Genomic DNA, 16,953 nt, shown 5'->3' with positions numbered 1-16,953 from the left:
AAGTAGCCGTGCCTACGTTTTTTCAGTATGTAGCAAAATTAAAATTGCAGTGCAATTATCCCCTACTACAGATTCTTCAATGTTCCTTCCAAAGAGAAAAGGAGTGGCCAACCTGAACCAATGAGTGAACCTGAAAACTATCTTTTCTCTGGAGGAATACATTTAAGGAGATCCTGAGGCCTGGCTGAGTGGAACTCACTCCCACTTGCTAGTGGGAACTTGCTCCCACTAGTGAAGAAAGATGATAATATAGGTTCAGTTTCACTTTCTAGTCAAAGACAAGCTCAAAAGGGCTTGAGTCCATTTGAGGGATTTTATTTTGCCAGAGTTCAAATGGTGACAGGTTTGGAGGAAATGCTAAATTCATAGAAAAAGCACACCTGGCCCTCACTACTCATACTTGCCTTTTGCATTACTGGAGACACCTGAGAATAGTCAAGCATTGTTAGAGACAGCTGGACCACAGAAGAGAGATGAGGGGAAGGAAATGACATATTTGTCCCAAGCTCAAAGAACCCTTTTTAATAAAGCTATCAGAGAACTGAAACCTTATAACTACATGCCCCACAAAACATTCTTCTTTTCTATAGTAGTAATTATGAAAAGTCAAAATCTCTGTGTACCTTGTAACACTGCAACCATGGAAAACAATTTATCGGTGTCAAGAACTAATAAGCTCTTGGAAAAATTTTACAAAGAAGTGTCTATTTGCTATTATACAAGGCGGAGTATGTAATTTTGTCATCTTTGTTTTATAATAGAGGAAGTAGTTAACAATTTCTGAGCAAAAAAACACAATGGTATACCTACCTCTTACGTTTGGCCTTAAACTCTTACAAACTTCAGTTTCCATTAACAGAGAACCTAGCAAACATAAGAGGGTCTTTGAAGCACACGAGAAGCCATCCAGAAAACACTATACATATCTGACAAAGGAGTTTTTAAACAGATTAATGTGATGTTCCATTATTTGTGTGAAATTGCTTAACATCACTTTTAAAAACATTCATTTTCAGAAGTAAGAGAAAAACTTTTTTTAAAAATCAAAACATACAGCGCTTGGTAATTTAAGCAAAAGCAAAATACTCTGACTTATGGATTGGGGGTACCAAGTATTCACCATCCAATCTTGCACACTATGATGCTACGTACTTGATACATAGTACATTTAATGCATATGTACTTGATTTCCCTCCCATAACTGTGACAACAGCCCTGACCGGTAGGTAAGAAATCTTCCCCCTAAAAACAGATTGATACTATCAGGTTGTACTATAGTTACCATGTAGGTATCCAGGATATTTATACAAAACACAACTGTAAAAAGATTGTTCTGAGTTGTACTACTTAAAAGAGTACCTTTCAAGAAGCTATTTTGCCGGCCTTCACAGAAGAGGTGCAAAATAATATGCTCTGGAGAGCTGTGGTAAGACACTCTCAGAATTCTCTCAACAGAGGGTTGTTTGTATCTGCATTAATGTTGCAAATAATAAGTTATAAAGTGGATATTTTTTCAGAGTGATGATAGAAGAAAAAAATTCTTTATACAGTAGTATCCTTTCAAAGCCATTTAAGGTACAATCTTTGAATAAATGTAGCTATCATTTAATCTTACCAGTTTCTCCCTGCTTTTCTGTGTCGTATCTGAAAAATCTCACTAGAGAACAAGTAATTCTTCAGGTCCCATAAATACTAAAATCACAAAGTAAAGATATGTTATGACTCCACATAGTATCCACATGAGCAAGTTTAATCTTTAGCAATTTAAGAGTACTACAAAAGAGTAAAGTCCCCCCAGTTCCCACTTCAGCATACTTGGGGCTCCATTTTGAAGTGTCTTAAAGAGTAGAGAACCATATCAGTAAAGTGGTCAGATTCACTTTGAAAAAAGGAGCACATGTATAGTGTATTTTTTGAGATCTGTGTTAGATAATACTAATTATACTTTTAATTATATCCAACTTTAAATAGTATATTAAAACTGTAATTTACCTTTTAAAAATCCAGTAGGTGCCAGTTTAAATAAGGCAACTTTAGAAAAATTTCAAGGACTGATTCTTACTTAAATCAGGAGCATTACTTTCAAAATAAATTGGATACTGGTATTATAAACAAATACAAATCATTACAAAGAAACCTGGAGAGGTGAAAAAGATCCAAAATTTTTTCACATAAAGACAATCACTATAAGCAATTTTTTACTTACAATCTTTTTCCTTATGTAATTTAGATGATATATTTATGTTATTATTTTTTTAAAAGAGTCTTGCTATGTTGCTCAGGTTGGCCTTGAACTCCTGGGCTCAAGTGATCATTCTGCCTCAGCCTCTCAAATAGCTGGGACTATAGGCATGTGCTACCATGTCTGGCTGAGAAGATCCTTTTTAATAACATTTAGTTTCAATTTTAAAATATTAATATTAGTAAAAAATGATATTTAGGTAAAAGGTCCAACCACTTTTAATAAGTAGCTTTCAACTCTCTGAGTCCATTTCCTCCAGTAACATGTAGGAACTTAACAGTATTTTTGGGAGTGTAAAAGAACTGAAATGACAGGAAAATAAGAAATGAGTCAAGATTTGCCTGTGAGAAAGGACTGAGTATTACTATTCGAAACAACCTTTTTCTCACAGGAAGACAAATACCACATGATCTCACTTACATGTGGAAGCTAAGAGAGGTGATCTCATAGAAGTAGACAGTAGAATGGTGGTTACCAGAGGCTGGGAAGGGAAAGGGAGGGAAGGCAAAGATGGGGAGAGGATGGTCTGAAGGGCTACAAAGTTAGTTAGATGAACTAAGAAGAGTAAGTGCTGATGTTCTATTACATAGTGGGGCGACTACAGATAATAACAATGTATTATATTTCAAGATAGCTAGAAAAGTGGGTCTTGAACGTTATCACCACAAAGAAATTGGAAAGGTTTAAGATAAATGACATGTTAACCACCATGATTTTATCATTATACAATGTACACATGTATTGAAGCATCACACTGTACCCTAATAAACATGTACAATTATTATGTGTCAATTGTTTTTTAAAAAACAGTGAAAAAAAATCTAGCCTGTTTCTGATACCATTAGAACTGGAATTTTATTATTCTTTATTTTTGATTAAATTGAATTTCGACCAAAAGAACCTTCTATAAAACAATTATCTGGACCTTTGGTTTAGTTTATCGAATATTATTCAAAAATTTCAAAGACCCAGTTTATTTCTGAGATTAGTCTACATGCTTGTCTGATTTTATACCTTCATTAAGTTCCATCAATATAATAAACAGTACCTAGAAATCTTTACCCTTTGGATTCCTTTAAGCAGAATGATTCTTAACCATTTTTCCCCTCATCCCCTTGTCCAGTTTTCACCTTTACAATTCTGCTTTTAAGTTTTCCTGGAAAATTCCTTAAAACACATATTTTAATTTTACCAGATTTTACTTATTGCTCGGTAATTTTATCTCTAATATAAAAAGGAATGAATGCAAAGTAGAAAAATGCATCTTTAGGATGAAGCCAGATAACAAAGATAAATATTCCTTTAAACAAAAACAAAAAAACTATCATAAATCAAACTATTCTGGTCATTAGAAAAATTTATTAAGAGTCATGACATAAACCACTGTTGACCTAACCTTTAGGTTGAGAAGTCACTGACAACAAACTAAGTTATTTTCATCTGTCAACACTTTAAGATTAATGATTTTTCAATATTACTATTTATTTCACTTTGAGACAGAATAGAGAAGCAGTGGTAATTTTAGTTCATCTACTATCAAGATAAACGACAGTATGATAGGTATAAATTCAAACCTGGATTCCAGATTTTCAGTTCAGCGCACCTGACTTTTTGGAAGTGCTAAACCTTTTGTTTTGTTTTTTGTTTAAATTTCTACTCTTTGGTAGAATGAAATTGTATGTCCCAAACTAGTGAGCCATTCTCTATTAATGTTTAACATCCATAATACATTAACGTTCACTTGATCCAACTCAGATACTTTGGCAAGGAAGAGGATTAGATCTACCAAATCTGGGTTCTACATCTAAAAAGATTTGGGGCCATGATACAAAAATGACTAATTTGGAAGTATATGTTTTAATTCTAATTGGAAATAACTATTTATAAATACTTGAATAAGGGCTTTTGGGGTCTATATTTGTTAAAGGCAATATGATATATTACATATATAACAATACTGCATATTTTGTTAGAAATATGGTTTAATAGTCACTTTGCTGACTTAATATTGTTGATCTTTAACTCTGCAAGTAGTTAAAAAACCCAGAACAGAGTTCATTATACTTCTGTTTTAAAAAGGGGGTGGGAGGGATCATCTCTTGAAAAACAAAAAGTATTAACATTCTAAAAAAAAAAATCACTTATATCTAGTACTAAGGATTGTATTTCAAGCTTTTTAAAAAACATAGTTCAAGTGTATTTATAATCAAAACTATATACTTACACTAAAAAAGACATAGTAATACATTCAAATATAAAAAGTATTAGGAACAGCTTGTACATATTTTAGATGTTCTGTAAGATAAGTACTTAAGAGGACAAACTTTTTAAACATCTAATAATCAATAATGTTAAAAATGTTTTATTTCCTTTGAAAAGGTCTTCTTTGAGTAGGATTTGCCTTACCTTGAAAATGTATACTCAGAGCCAAGTAAAACAACACTTCAACCTTTTCTAATTAATTTATAGCCTATAATAATTTCAAAATATATATCACAACAAATAACTACCAAAGTATATTCTCCAACTACAGTTCATTTTAACCTACAAGGTGAATTTTCTGATAACATAATTTGATTTACAAGGAATAGTTAACAATTCCATGTCTCCTGTTTTGACAACACCAGGCAGAGCTTAATTCTAATAACGCTATCACTGACCTTTCTAACTCAATCCACATTTGTCATAAAAACAATTATCATTCCTAGTTTTGCAAGCTCCACGTCAGCAGGAGGTGCAATTGGCGTGAAAGCTACGTGATAAATGCCTCAGGGAAAGAGTGCCTCATGTCACTCAAGATGACCCCTTCCTACTGATTAAGGAGCAACAGTGACAGGCTCTCATCAAGTTCACCGCTTAACTGGAAAGGTGTATAAAGGCATAAGGATTGCACATTCCATGGATATTTTTTTCATGTGAAGGTATTCATTTAATTAACTTTCTATAGCAGCATAAACAAAAATGGCAGATATTTTCTGGAGGTTATATAAAGTATCTTAGTGTAATGCATTTGTGCTTGCTTAAAAATACTAAGACTGCAAAAGCACACCCTACACCCTATCCACTCTAAAATAAAATTGCTAAAATAATACTCATCAAAGGATTAAAGTACTGGACACTTGAATATTCACATTTATAAACTAAAACAGAACACCAATTATTACTGAAATTAATTTTTTAGCAGATGTAGAAGACAATAAAATTCACAATACTTAAGCCTTATTTACCTTCCTAGACTGTGGGCCTTTCCTCTTTTTTTGTAGTTAGCCCTTGTCAAGCACACCACCTGGTTCAGAGTAGGTGTTCAAGAAATGCTGAATTCAAAGGAATTAATTTCACATTTGACTTTTATGAGGATAAATGTTTTTCTGGTCATCTTGGAATGAATAAAATGACAGAATATGTATATACTTGGATGATTTTATTCTGCAAAGTGAAATTAAAAATTAACAACCTAGAAAACTCTAACTTCAAAGAGATTTAAGAAACTGCCAGTAAACAATGCATGGGGAAAAGCTGAATCTTAACTGCTCAGAAATCTCCTCTCCAGCTTTATTTACATTGTAATAAGGTCTCTTACAGAAATTTAAAAAATATGATTCCATAGAACTATGATATCACATCTGGCAAAATACAGTGAAGAATAGCATTTCTCAACCTTGTCTTCAGATGCAACTTTGAAAAGTCTGCCATTGAAAATCTAGGACTAAGACTATGAATTATACTTTACTTATTGAGAATTTCTTCTTCCTATACCTCCAAGATAGATTTGGGCAATTATTCAAGGCAATTATTATTATGTTTTCTAAAATAAAGTATAAGAAGTAATTTTGGGAATGAAGCCTTTTCCTGAACATTTAGATTCATACTCATATACTGGTATTGTTAGCCAGGGCACAGAACACAGTAACCTATGTTTGCCACGTTGGACTTTCGAAGAAGTGTAAAACTTCTTAAAGGCAGAGACCTCAGTGACATCTGTTTCACACTTCATGTCATCACTGCTTGTAGAAGTTGGCAGACAGAGCAGTCAATTATGAAATATTAATGCTAATTGCAATTAAACAAATATACGTTATGAACATCTAATTTGGAAAACTACTTTGTACTAACAGTATAAAACCCTAACTCATGATGTTGATTCCTTAATTACCTTAGAATTACTACCAACTTAAACAATTACTATATTGCCTTTTGTCTAAATGATTCATTATAATCAAAAGAGGAGGTAAGAATTAGAAAGGAAATAATATTTATTAAGTGTCATATGATGTGATATGCTAACAATTCTATCATGACAAAGATACCTGGTGTGATTTCTATTTGACATGTAGGAAAGCCAAAGCTCAGAAAAGAATTTGCCTTGCAATTTAGTTATTAAGAAACTAGACAAGGATTTGAAAATGTGTATGATGTCAAAGCCTATGTTTACAAGTTTATATTAGTTTACCAAGCAAACACTATCCCAGACACCTTTACAAGTGAAGTAAAGAGGTACTCATTGGAATAAAAAACGTTCTTATTCATCATCTGGAGAAGCACTTTACTCTCTATAAGCATTTAAACTCTTCTTAGATAGTCTTCACTATATCATTTTTTGTCTGATACTTTGGCAGATTAATAATAAAGAGATTTGTATGATGCCAAATTTGAAGGCTAAATAGAAACTAGTATTTCCTGAGTATGTGTGGAAAAAGTACTTATTTAAAATATTTTTTCATACTGATATAGCAGTTTTCAATTTAGATTACAAACCCAGTAATATGATACTGAGCATTTGTATCTTGTTAAAATATCTATTTCCAAAATAAAACTGAAGTGTATTGCTTTAGCAGATTAACTGCTAAGGTCATCACTTGAATTACATAAAAGCTAAATGGAAGTGTTTATTTTCCACCTGTATCATAATGTAACTTACTCCCAGTAGTGAAGAAACTCCAATCTCAAAAGTGGTTATTATCCACACCCTTTCTTTTAGTTTTACTACAAACTGCTATAAGGAAAAACTGCAAATTAAAACATTACTACTCAGTAAATTCATACTATATATTAAGATCTTAAATAATCTCAAATCTATTACTTAGATGCCACTCAATATCTTAATATTAAACTCATAAACCTATGCAGCAGAATGTTTTCAGGTACAGAATACTGGGTTACATAGGGCAGCGACAGATACATTTTGTATATGAATTGCTAAAATAAAACAGATCAAGGAATTGAACTGTCAGACTCTGCATATTTGCTGCATTTAAAAACCAAAAGAATATTAATTATTACTGTAAATTTTAGAAATGTTTATTTTAGAAACACACAAAGCTAAAATGCATATTTCAGTCCAACAACCTAGAGAGAAGAAATAGGGAGCTACATGTTTTTGTTTAGTCTTGTTTTTTCCTCAAAATCCATCCCTAAGAGTCAGGAGCTACAAGTTTATAGGTACGCATTTGTATGAATATGCTTGCCATGATTCTAAGACCTAGAACATCTAGAATACAGGACATTACATTTTTATTTGAAAAAATATTTAAATTAATTTTACATGTACAATATAATATCACTTTCAGAACAAAAAAACATTAATGAAAGTAGAATATACTAAAACAAAATTATTTTTACTTTTGAGTCAAATTCTACACCCTGGAAAAAGTCAGAAGCCCATACTAGAGTTTTGTAGAAGTTTTTTTAAAAATGCTTTTAAAATTTAGCAAGGCTGCAAAGTCTGTCAATAAATAAATCAAATTACTATCTGTCAGTAAGCTATGAAGTCCACAGTAAGTACCAATGCAAACTGAACAGATTTAGAAAGTCAATCCATACTTTCTAGCATCATCATGAAAACTCCATGACTGACCGACACATCATTTCCAATGTTATCATCAAGGCCTCAGTGTGTACCCCAGGACACACTTTCAAATTCTCAGGCAGTTCCTTAAGAATGTGTGGGAGTTTCTGCAATGTCTTTATATTTCCAGCATAAAGATCCAGTAACCAGTCAGTATGAACACTGGTGGTTTCTTTATGACTTTTACAAGCCATAAGCAGTTCATTTAGATGAGTTAACCCTTTGGAAGCTAAAATGAACTCTGAAGATAAATCAAAAATTGAACAAAAATTTAGCAACATCCTACTAAGTAAAAAGGAGCCAAATTCAAGTTGCTGGTAATGAAAATGTTTCTCTGCTTGTGCATGAAAGTTCTCCACTGTATCTTCTATTTTTGTAATAGCAAACAGTTCTTCTTTGATTTGAGGTGAAACCACATAATCCAAGGGCAATTCTCCCTTAGCATTCCTCTGTTGTAAAAGCACTGGGCCTGTGAAAAGAAAATGCAAAATGTTGCAAGTAAAACATTTCTATTTTGGCAGCTTAACAGCTCTTTTCTCCTTTTTCCCAAAGCATCCAGTGCTTTCTTTGCAATCATATTTTGTATTAATTCATGTCGACACAATTAACTGACTATATATATAGACGAATAAAGGTACATTAAAAAAATTCTAGTCAATTACCTAATAAGGTTTCCCCAAACGTGCATGCCTCCGTTAAATAAATAATAAATACAACTACAAATAAAAACTTTTATAAAACTTTATCAACTGTCATTTTAAAATAAGAATTTCAGTGTTCCCAGAAGAAATCTTAAAAATGTATTATTCATCTTATAAATTCTATACAAGAGCCTCAGGGGTATCTCAAAATATCACCAAGAGGAAAAAGTAGTGCCCCTTTCATTGCTAATAAACAATTCTAGCAGTGCAAAGACTACAAAACCTTGCACAGATAGAGAACAGTTTTCATATTACCCTTGCTTGTGTTCAATGTTTAGTACAGGTAACTGGTTCACACAAATTACATATTAATTCTTCTAGATCAAACTCAGATCTCATCCATCTATACTAGTTAAACTCATTTAACTACCTACTTAGAAAGTACTAAAGATAGAGTTTATCCACTAAGTACTAAAGGATGATGTGGAGAAGGCAAAACATAACTCAGTATTTGGTTACATAGCAAAGTATAGGAGTACTTTTGCCTTCATCAGTCAAGTCTTATAATTATTTATGCACTTGGCCATAAAAACGTTACAGGGGATATAAAGATTTTAGTACTAGCAGACATAATCACTAGGTCCTACAATTATAACATAGATCATATTGTCAGAAAGAGAGAACTGATTATAACTGCTAAAATTCATAATGATGACTCTGATCAGACATACATAGTAGCATAGATATAAAATGTACTTAATATAAAAGATCAACCATTGATAATATGATTAATGTATAATTTATGGAAAGAAGATAATTCTAAAACAAAATTAGGCTCCTTTTCACTGTGCCAACATCTCAAAAAAATTGTTCCAAGTTACTTCTGTTTAAAAAAAAAAAAAAAGACAAAATTACGGACACAGGATACCAAAAGTAAACAAACGTTTTAGAGAAATAAATAAATTCTTGAAATTATTGCTCTTGAGGCTGAGTGACTCACAATGAATAGATAATGCAGTTACTTCAATATAAGTGTCAAACCACTTGACAGGTCCAAACCCAGAATATGACTAAGGCAGAAACAAGTCTGTACGACTGCCAAAGGACCTTGATAAAAACAAAAACAATTAGATTTCCTCTTCTAGGAGGAGAAACTCATCTCTTTACTATTCTCCACTAAGAGCCCTAGAAAAATTCACATTGGTTGGTATAATGCCATACTCTACTGAAGAGCTGGACCTAATACAATAATGGCTCCTAACAAATATTGGCCTGAATGCCAGACACACGGCTGAGTAGAAAAATAAAACATTAAGGAGGTAGAACTTATGGTTTAGTAAACACAGAATACTAAAAAAAACAAGGTAGAAGAACTGAAAAACATTGACTATGAAATGATATCAGTAAAACAGACACACTAAGGCCTTTAGGGGGCAGGAGAAGACTATATATAACCAAATGTCTTAAACTCCCATGCTATACAGCCTTCCTTAGATGCATATATACTAAAAAGACATCTTAAGAAAATACGCTTTTTGTCTTTATGCACAATCAAATGTTTTAATTACAGGATAAGATAATGTTAAATTTAAATGTAAAATTAATACAAATAAAAACGACAAGTAATTTCTACAAATCTTTGTTTCCATATTCTAAGCTGGTCATCAGTTTTCTTTTTTTCTTTTAAAAGCACCAATCCGTTTTGAACATTTTGTTGTAAAATTTATATTATTCAGTTTAGATATAAGAAGAATGACACTGAAATAATGTGGGGCCTTGCTGAAAGCAAAGATCAAAAATCAGCAGGAAAAACGCAGATGAATATTCAGCTCAAGTTACCTCCTTCACAAAACCCCTGCATAACAGTTATCACCATTTGAAAATCCTCCTGCTTTAACTTAATTGGCTGCAAAATGTGAATGACGAAAAATATTCTAGGATATCATTTTTTTACAGTCTGTACAGAAATGACTCATTAAAAATAAGATTGAGTTTGTAGTTACATACAGGAAATGAAAAAATCCAGGTAATCACAATTGAACATTTATATCCATTTATCAATAAGCTTTCAGAAATGACTGGCTCACAAAGACATTACACACCTGAAGGAAAAAGATAAATATTTAAAACCAGCAAACTCAATTCAAAAACAGACTCTCATACACGAACCTAAATAGGCTTAATAATATATACATAAACAAATATACATTATGAAAAGGATTTTATCTCTAATAATAAAAGGTGCTTACGTTTTAGGAGACTTTTTATCCTTACTTTTTCATTAATATGAAATAAAGGCATCTTTCCTTACAGATTTTAAACATAAAATGCTATCTACCTCTGCAGGATTCATCAAAAAACTGGATAATTTATCAAAACCCATTTAGCATAAACACACTCACCCCCATGCTGTAGTAGCAGCTTGCCAATTTCTACATGTCCGTTTGACAGTGCATCATGCAAAGGAGTCACCCCGTCCACTTGAGTGAGCAGATCTACCTCTGGACAACGTTGCAAAATTTCCTGGACACACACTGTGTTGCCATAGTTACAGGCTTCATGCAAAGGCGTCCAGCCAGCATTGTCTAAATTAGAAATCAAGGCAAGTTTTAAAACAGCAGAAGTAGGACTTTTGGTAGAAAAGTACTGATGTTCTACTTTTCTCATCAGTGTGACTTTCTAGGTGCTTCATATACAAAAAGAATGCTGTGATAAAAATGTCTAGGGTGTAATCATATTTCTACCTTAAAAAATTAAAATAAAAACAATTTTAAAATATTAATGTTGGGTATTATCAAAATATGGACACCAAAAAATGTTTTTATACCATTAGTTATAAATCAATATATGAGAAATTTCTTGGCTTTGCTAAGAAATTTTTCTTATACTTTTAAGATACCTTAGGTAAATTTACTTAAATAATTTTTCTTAATGTGATATAAAACTGTTTAATATCACAAATATTAAGACATTGGACTAGACCACAAAGATTTAAAACTTACCTTTAACATTGATGTCTATTCCTGGCAAAGAGAGAAGAAGAATCAATTTCTCCACTTGGTTATTTATGCAAGCTCTATGCAGGGCTGTTTCTCCTGCCATAAAAAATTAATAGATTATTCCAGAGAAGACAAGATATCAACTAAAAAAAATAATCAAAGGGCATGAACTAGGAGATCTGGCCCCATGCCAGAAATTTATTTATTGAGTTCTTCTTTTGACTGGTTTAAACATCCCCTGCATTTAAAAAGGCGGGGGTGGGGGGTGGGAAGGGGAAGGACCCCCACCAATCCATACTGCTTCTGTTCTATCAGCAATTCAGCAATGAAATTCTACTGCAAAAGGTTTAACACAGGCATTGTCTCCCCTAGTTCAAGGTTTAAAGCTTCAATCCTGCTATAAAACCCCCAAATGATCAGAGAACACCAAAAATACTGGGTTTTGCAGCAATAAAAGTTTAGAGTGCAATTGCCCTCTCTTAAATTTATTCATGAACCTACATTAAATGTATGGCTCTTTTTTATACAGCATTTATAGCTTAATTCAAATGAATGTTTCTGGCTAAGCATGAGTGCCTCTACACACTCAAGTATAATTCAGAACTTCAAATCCATTAACAGATGGTTTGCTGCTTCTCAATAGGCTGTCTGGCTTGGCTACAACAGCAGAGAGAGGGAGAAATGGAGGAATCTTAATATAAACACACCACACACACACACACACACAGACACACACACGGATGTAAAAAAAAAAAAAATCCCTAGTACCATTTAAAGCTGAACAAGAGTAACAAATAGAAATGACAAGGTTTTTTCTAGGAGAGACGCAATTAATGCCTTCTGGCTAAAATTGTCTATATCCATCACTGTTACAACCAAGATTAATAAGATATAAGTGATTATTTAAGGGGAATTTTAAAAAAATTACTATAAATGACTGCTTAGGAAACAAAATGAAATACTGAATCTAATTTGTTCTTACTATAAAATACTAAGTAGCACATTTTTACAGTGTTCAGTTTTACAGATTATCTCTAACTTCTACAAAAACATTTTTTTACATGCATAAAAAGCTTTTGAAGTTTTTCTCTACTATATCTCAATTCTCTTCCTCTCTCCCAGTTCCTTCTGCTGTTCTGCCTAAAATCATTCATATTCATTTTACTTTCTGAAACAATAAAACAAAGAAAAAGAACGCTGATTTGTGAAATTAATATCTGAGTTCTCATCTAATATAATTTTCATATTCCAAGTCAAATGGACAGTTATTTTGAATCTGTAATATGCAATTATGAACTTATATCACATTGAAATATAAGTGCTTCACTGTCACTATTTCCATGGGTGTCATAATGTTAATATTTGTATTAAAAACAAGATATAACTCATAAACAACAACAACAAAAAAGACTCAGCAATTTACTTTGGCCAGGTATAGACTTCTGGAAGATCCATTTACAAGTTATGAGGTGGCTAAGTAAAAGAGGTGCCAAAGTGAATTATTATGCTATTCTTGTTATTTCATCCTTTAGGTACTTAGGTTCCAGTATAGTTAGAACCAAAAGCCAAACACATTTCATAGTCTGGGCTCAATGCCTGGAAGAAAAGAGCCCATATGCTTAACACAGCTATGTAACATAGCCTACTCTTCATTCTTTGTTCACAAAATGTCTAGGACTGAAAGAGATGAAGACTGAATTATACTTTCAAATCAGAAGACACTGATCCTAAGCAGCACAGGTTGAGATGGAATAGAAAAGTAAGGCGGGCAAGTCTGGAATGAGCTCAATGAATGCTACACTGTGTTTCATATCTGTAATGGCAGGGAGAGGAAAAAAAGGAAAGAATACTCTATTATACTGGTTATTAAACAATCACTTTCTTTGCATAAATGACAGTTCAAGAAAATAATACGTTATCCAAGAAGGTACTTCCTGGACCTAGTCCAATATTTAAGTTCAAGTATTCATCAGGGCAAATGTGTGAAACCTGCAAGTACTGACTATAACCATGAAAAGTTCTTAGCATAAATTAATTTAAATACTTGGAATACCTTTTAGATTAGTCTTGTGAAAATTCATCTTTTTAACTACAGAGGGGCAATTCTCCTTGGAACATGACAATTCTCCTTCTGACTTCTTTTTCAATTTTTTTAATGATGAGGAACATTTAGCAAGGTTCAGGTCTCTGAAAGGAAAAGTAAGAAATAATGAAAGCTTGTTTTTCAGCAAGGCGTGCCAGCATACATTAGATGGTATTTTTTAAAAGTCTAGCCCCCTTTTAATTTAAACTCCCTTACTCATTCAATCTTTACTGCTTTCTAATTTTAAAATTTATTTCAACTGTGTAGAAACAAACTTCAGTGCACTAATTTTCTTTTATTAGTCCTACTCCCCCAACTGCTCACTAAATTTATAAATACAGAATGTCAAATAAAGAGAAAAAGACCAGTTAAACCATATTTGGCAGAGAGAATAAAGCAGAAAGCTAAGATCAAGCAGGCCTCTGCTCCCCATTCTTACTTTCATATTCTGATTCTATTCTCTTCTTCCTCTCACAGAAGCTTTCAGGCTTTCTGAGTTTTATACAACATACACTTTTATACACCTTATACTTTTAGAGGTTTCTCATTTTGGGGAAACTACTATAATGATACAGGATATCTCATATGACCATGCATTCTGAAATCCCATCTATATTATGGCAAAGTAGTCATTCAAATCATAGGGCAAAAATTGTGTGGAACTGTATTTCATCAATAATTCATCAATAATTTGATGAGCAGTTTTATTTCTTTTGGGAAGCACTTAGAAAGCATGTACCTTGAATTACAGAAACAGAAAATGTTGATCAAATAGATCTAAAATTGAGTTTTGATCTAATCAGTATAATTCAGACAGTATCACAGATAACCATTAAGTTCAAGAAATGCATCAGAGAAAGAGCTGTACTCCAAAACAAAGCACAGCTGGGATATCAGCATCACTTACAGTAACTCTGGCAGCCCTTCGACTTGTTTTTGTTTAGTACCATTCAGCATTAGTAAGGTTCTCTGAGAGTCAAAACAAGGCCGCTGTCCTATTTTCTTTGACACCTGAATCTTTCCAGACCCAAGCACACCAGTTTTCCCCAAGGCTGGTAAATAGGAATATACCTGTTGAAAAATAATATTGCATTATTTTCTCAACTACAAAAACAGCAGTAAAGAGAAATTATTTGATTCATTTCACTATTACATTTGGTTATATTTTCTTGGTTGCATCACTATGGTTGCCACTCTATCTTGGTTGAACATAATAAAATATTAAGAAAACTAGTTTTGTGTCAAAGTCAATACCATGTGAACAACCAGAAAAACACCTTCTTAAAAATAATTATTTTTTTCTAATTCAATTTTGATCCTCATTTAGGAAAGCTCTTTTGATTAGTCTTATGCCCAACAGGTATGATTCATTTGCACATTTTATATGTATGATTTACATACAACTGGTATTTTGTAATTTCCATTCTGATAATGCCTTGAACAGAAAACAAGTCTTTCTTCAACAGAAAACAAAATAAGGAATAAAAACATCCTTAAAGGATTGTTGCAAAACAGAATTTGACTAATATCTAAAGATATTAATATCTAAAGATAGATATTAATATCTACATATCTAAATTAATATTGCCTTATTAATAATAATAAATAATTATTATTAAATATTAATATCTAAAGATAGCCAAAATAAAACTGGAAAACTTTAAATCAAATGTAGCTTATATGCATAATATTTTGCTTTTTAAATACCATTTAGAATTTTGTTGGATCTAGTTCTTTCCAAAATAATAACCTATGTAGGAATTTTATTAGGAAACAAGGATTTTTTAGTTTTCTATGATCAACCCTTGGCTACGCTCAAAAGTAATTAAAATTTCTTTTTCCTTTCTTTTCTTTCTTTGTTGTTGTTGTTGTTGTTGTTGTTGTTGAGACAGGGTCTTAGTGTGCCACCTAGGCTACAGTACAGTGGTTATCACAGGTCACTGCTGCCTCGACCTCCTGGGATTAAGGATCCTCCCACCTCAGCCTCCCGAGTAGCTGGGACCACAGGCATGTGCCACCATGCCCAGCTAATTTAACTTTTTTTTAGAGACAGAGTATTGCTATGTTGCCCAGGCTGGTCTCGAACTCCTGGGCTCAAGGGATCCTCCTGCCTCAGCTTCCAAAAGTGTTAGAATTATAGGCAGGGGCCATCATGCTCGGCCTTAAAATTTCTATTTGGTGATTACCTTCCCCCCACTGCCCCTGGAGAAGGGGTCTCACTATGTTGTCCAGGATGGAATGCAGTGGCTATGCACAAGTGCAACCATAATGCACTACAGCTTCAAATTCTGGGGATTAAGCAATCCTCCCGCCTCAGTCTCCTGAGTAGCTGGAACTACAGGCACTCACCTGCAGGCACTCACCTACAGGCACTCAGCACGGCCGCTGGCTTTCATTACTCTAATTAGAGACAGAAATATACTAGCTTTTATACAGAATTGAAATATTTATGAATTAATATATTCTGCCTACTTACTTGAAATAACTAAGAATTTTTTAAAATTGAGTTTGTGGGCCAGGCGTGGTGGCTCACGCCTGTAATCCCAGCACTTTGGGAGGCCGAGGCAGGCAGATCACGAGGTCAGGAGATCGAGACCCCGTCTCTACTAAAAATACAAAAAAATTAGCTGGGTATGGTGGTGGGCGCCTGTAGCCCAGCTACTCGGGAGGCTGAGGCAGGAGAATGCCATGCACCCGGGAGGCGGAGCTTACAGTGAGCCGCGATTGCGCCACTGCACTCCAGCCTGGGCGACAGAGCAAGCCTCCATCTCAAAATAAATAAATAACTAAATAAATAAAATTGAGTTTGTGAACTCACTTCTTGAAAATGTAAAGAACCAGAATAGAGAGGTACTTACCATTTTCTGAAGAGAGAGTGGCTCAGAAGAAACACTGCCAGAGCTCTGTAGACACAACTTTTTAAAGACTGCCTCTGCAACAAACATTTGAAGCCAGGAGGAGGAAAAGGAGCAAATGAAAATCTCTAATTCCTGTGAAGAAAAGTCTGGAGAACATAAGGTAAGTTAATATAGTTATTGCTGTATCCTATACAATTTTTTCCATAGGCTATTTCCTTAGTGAAGTTTATTCTGTCAAATGAGAGCTCTTACACCTATAAGATTCATCCACATGATTTTAATCCA

The 16,953-nt window shown here is 33.2% G+C and overlaps 1 protein-coding gene across 9 annotated transcripts in view, besides 1 other annotated feature; it reads right to left on the bottom strand.

The window, feature by feature from the left end:
* Window positions 170–239: an enhancer, noted in NCBI's record as "active region_22793". NCBI's record gives its function as "activates an Ori minimal core promoter by ATAC-STARR-seq in GM12878 lymphoblastoid cells {active_cell/tissue: GM12878}" and the evidence as "EXISTENCE:reporter gene assay evidence [ECO:0000049][PMID:35858748]".
* SLF1 (SMC5/6 complex localization factor 1) overlaps window positions 5,766–16,953 on the bottom strand; it is a 79,391-nt gene continuing 68,203 nt past the window's right edge. For 5 of the 9 annotated variants that reach the window (XM_017009979.3, XM_047417831.1, NM_032290.4 and 2 more), the window contains 6 exons: window positions 16,669–16,814; window positions 14,718–14,881; window positions 13,781–13,914; window positions 11,731–11,823; window positions 11,131–11,313; window positions 5,766–8,556 (listed from right to left, as the gene is read on the bottom strand). In XM_017009979.3, coding sequence (XP_016865468.1) covers window positions 8,075–8,556; window positions 11,131–11,313; window positions 11,731–11,823; window positions 13,781–13,914; window positions 14,718–14,881; window positions 16,669–16,814 — 1,202 coding nt within the window. In that variant the 3' untranslated portion in view covers window positions 5,766–8,074. The other 4 variants (XM_047417830.1, XM_017009981.3, XM_047417832.1 and 1 more) reach the window with 2 other exon arrangements.

This window comes from Homo sapiens, chromosome 5 (genome assembly GCF_000001405.40).
Source record: "Homo sapiens chromosome 5, GRCh38.p14 Primary Assembly".
Taxonomy (NCBI): domain Eukaryota; kingdom Metazoa; phylum Chordata; class Mammalia; order Primates; family Hominidae; genus Homo; species Homo sapiens.
This window is presented reverse-complemented; position numbering and strand designations above follow the sequence as displayed.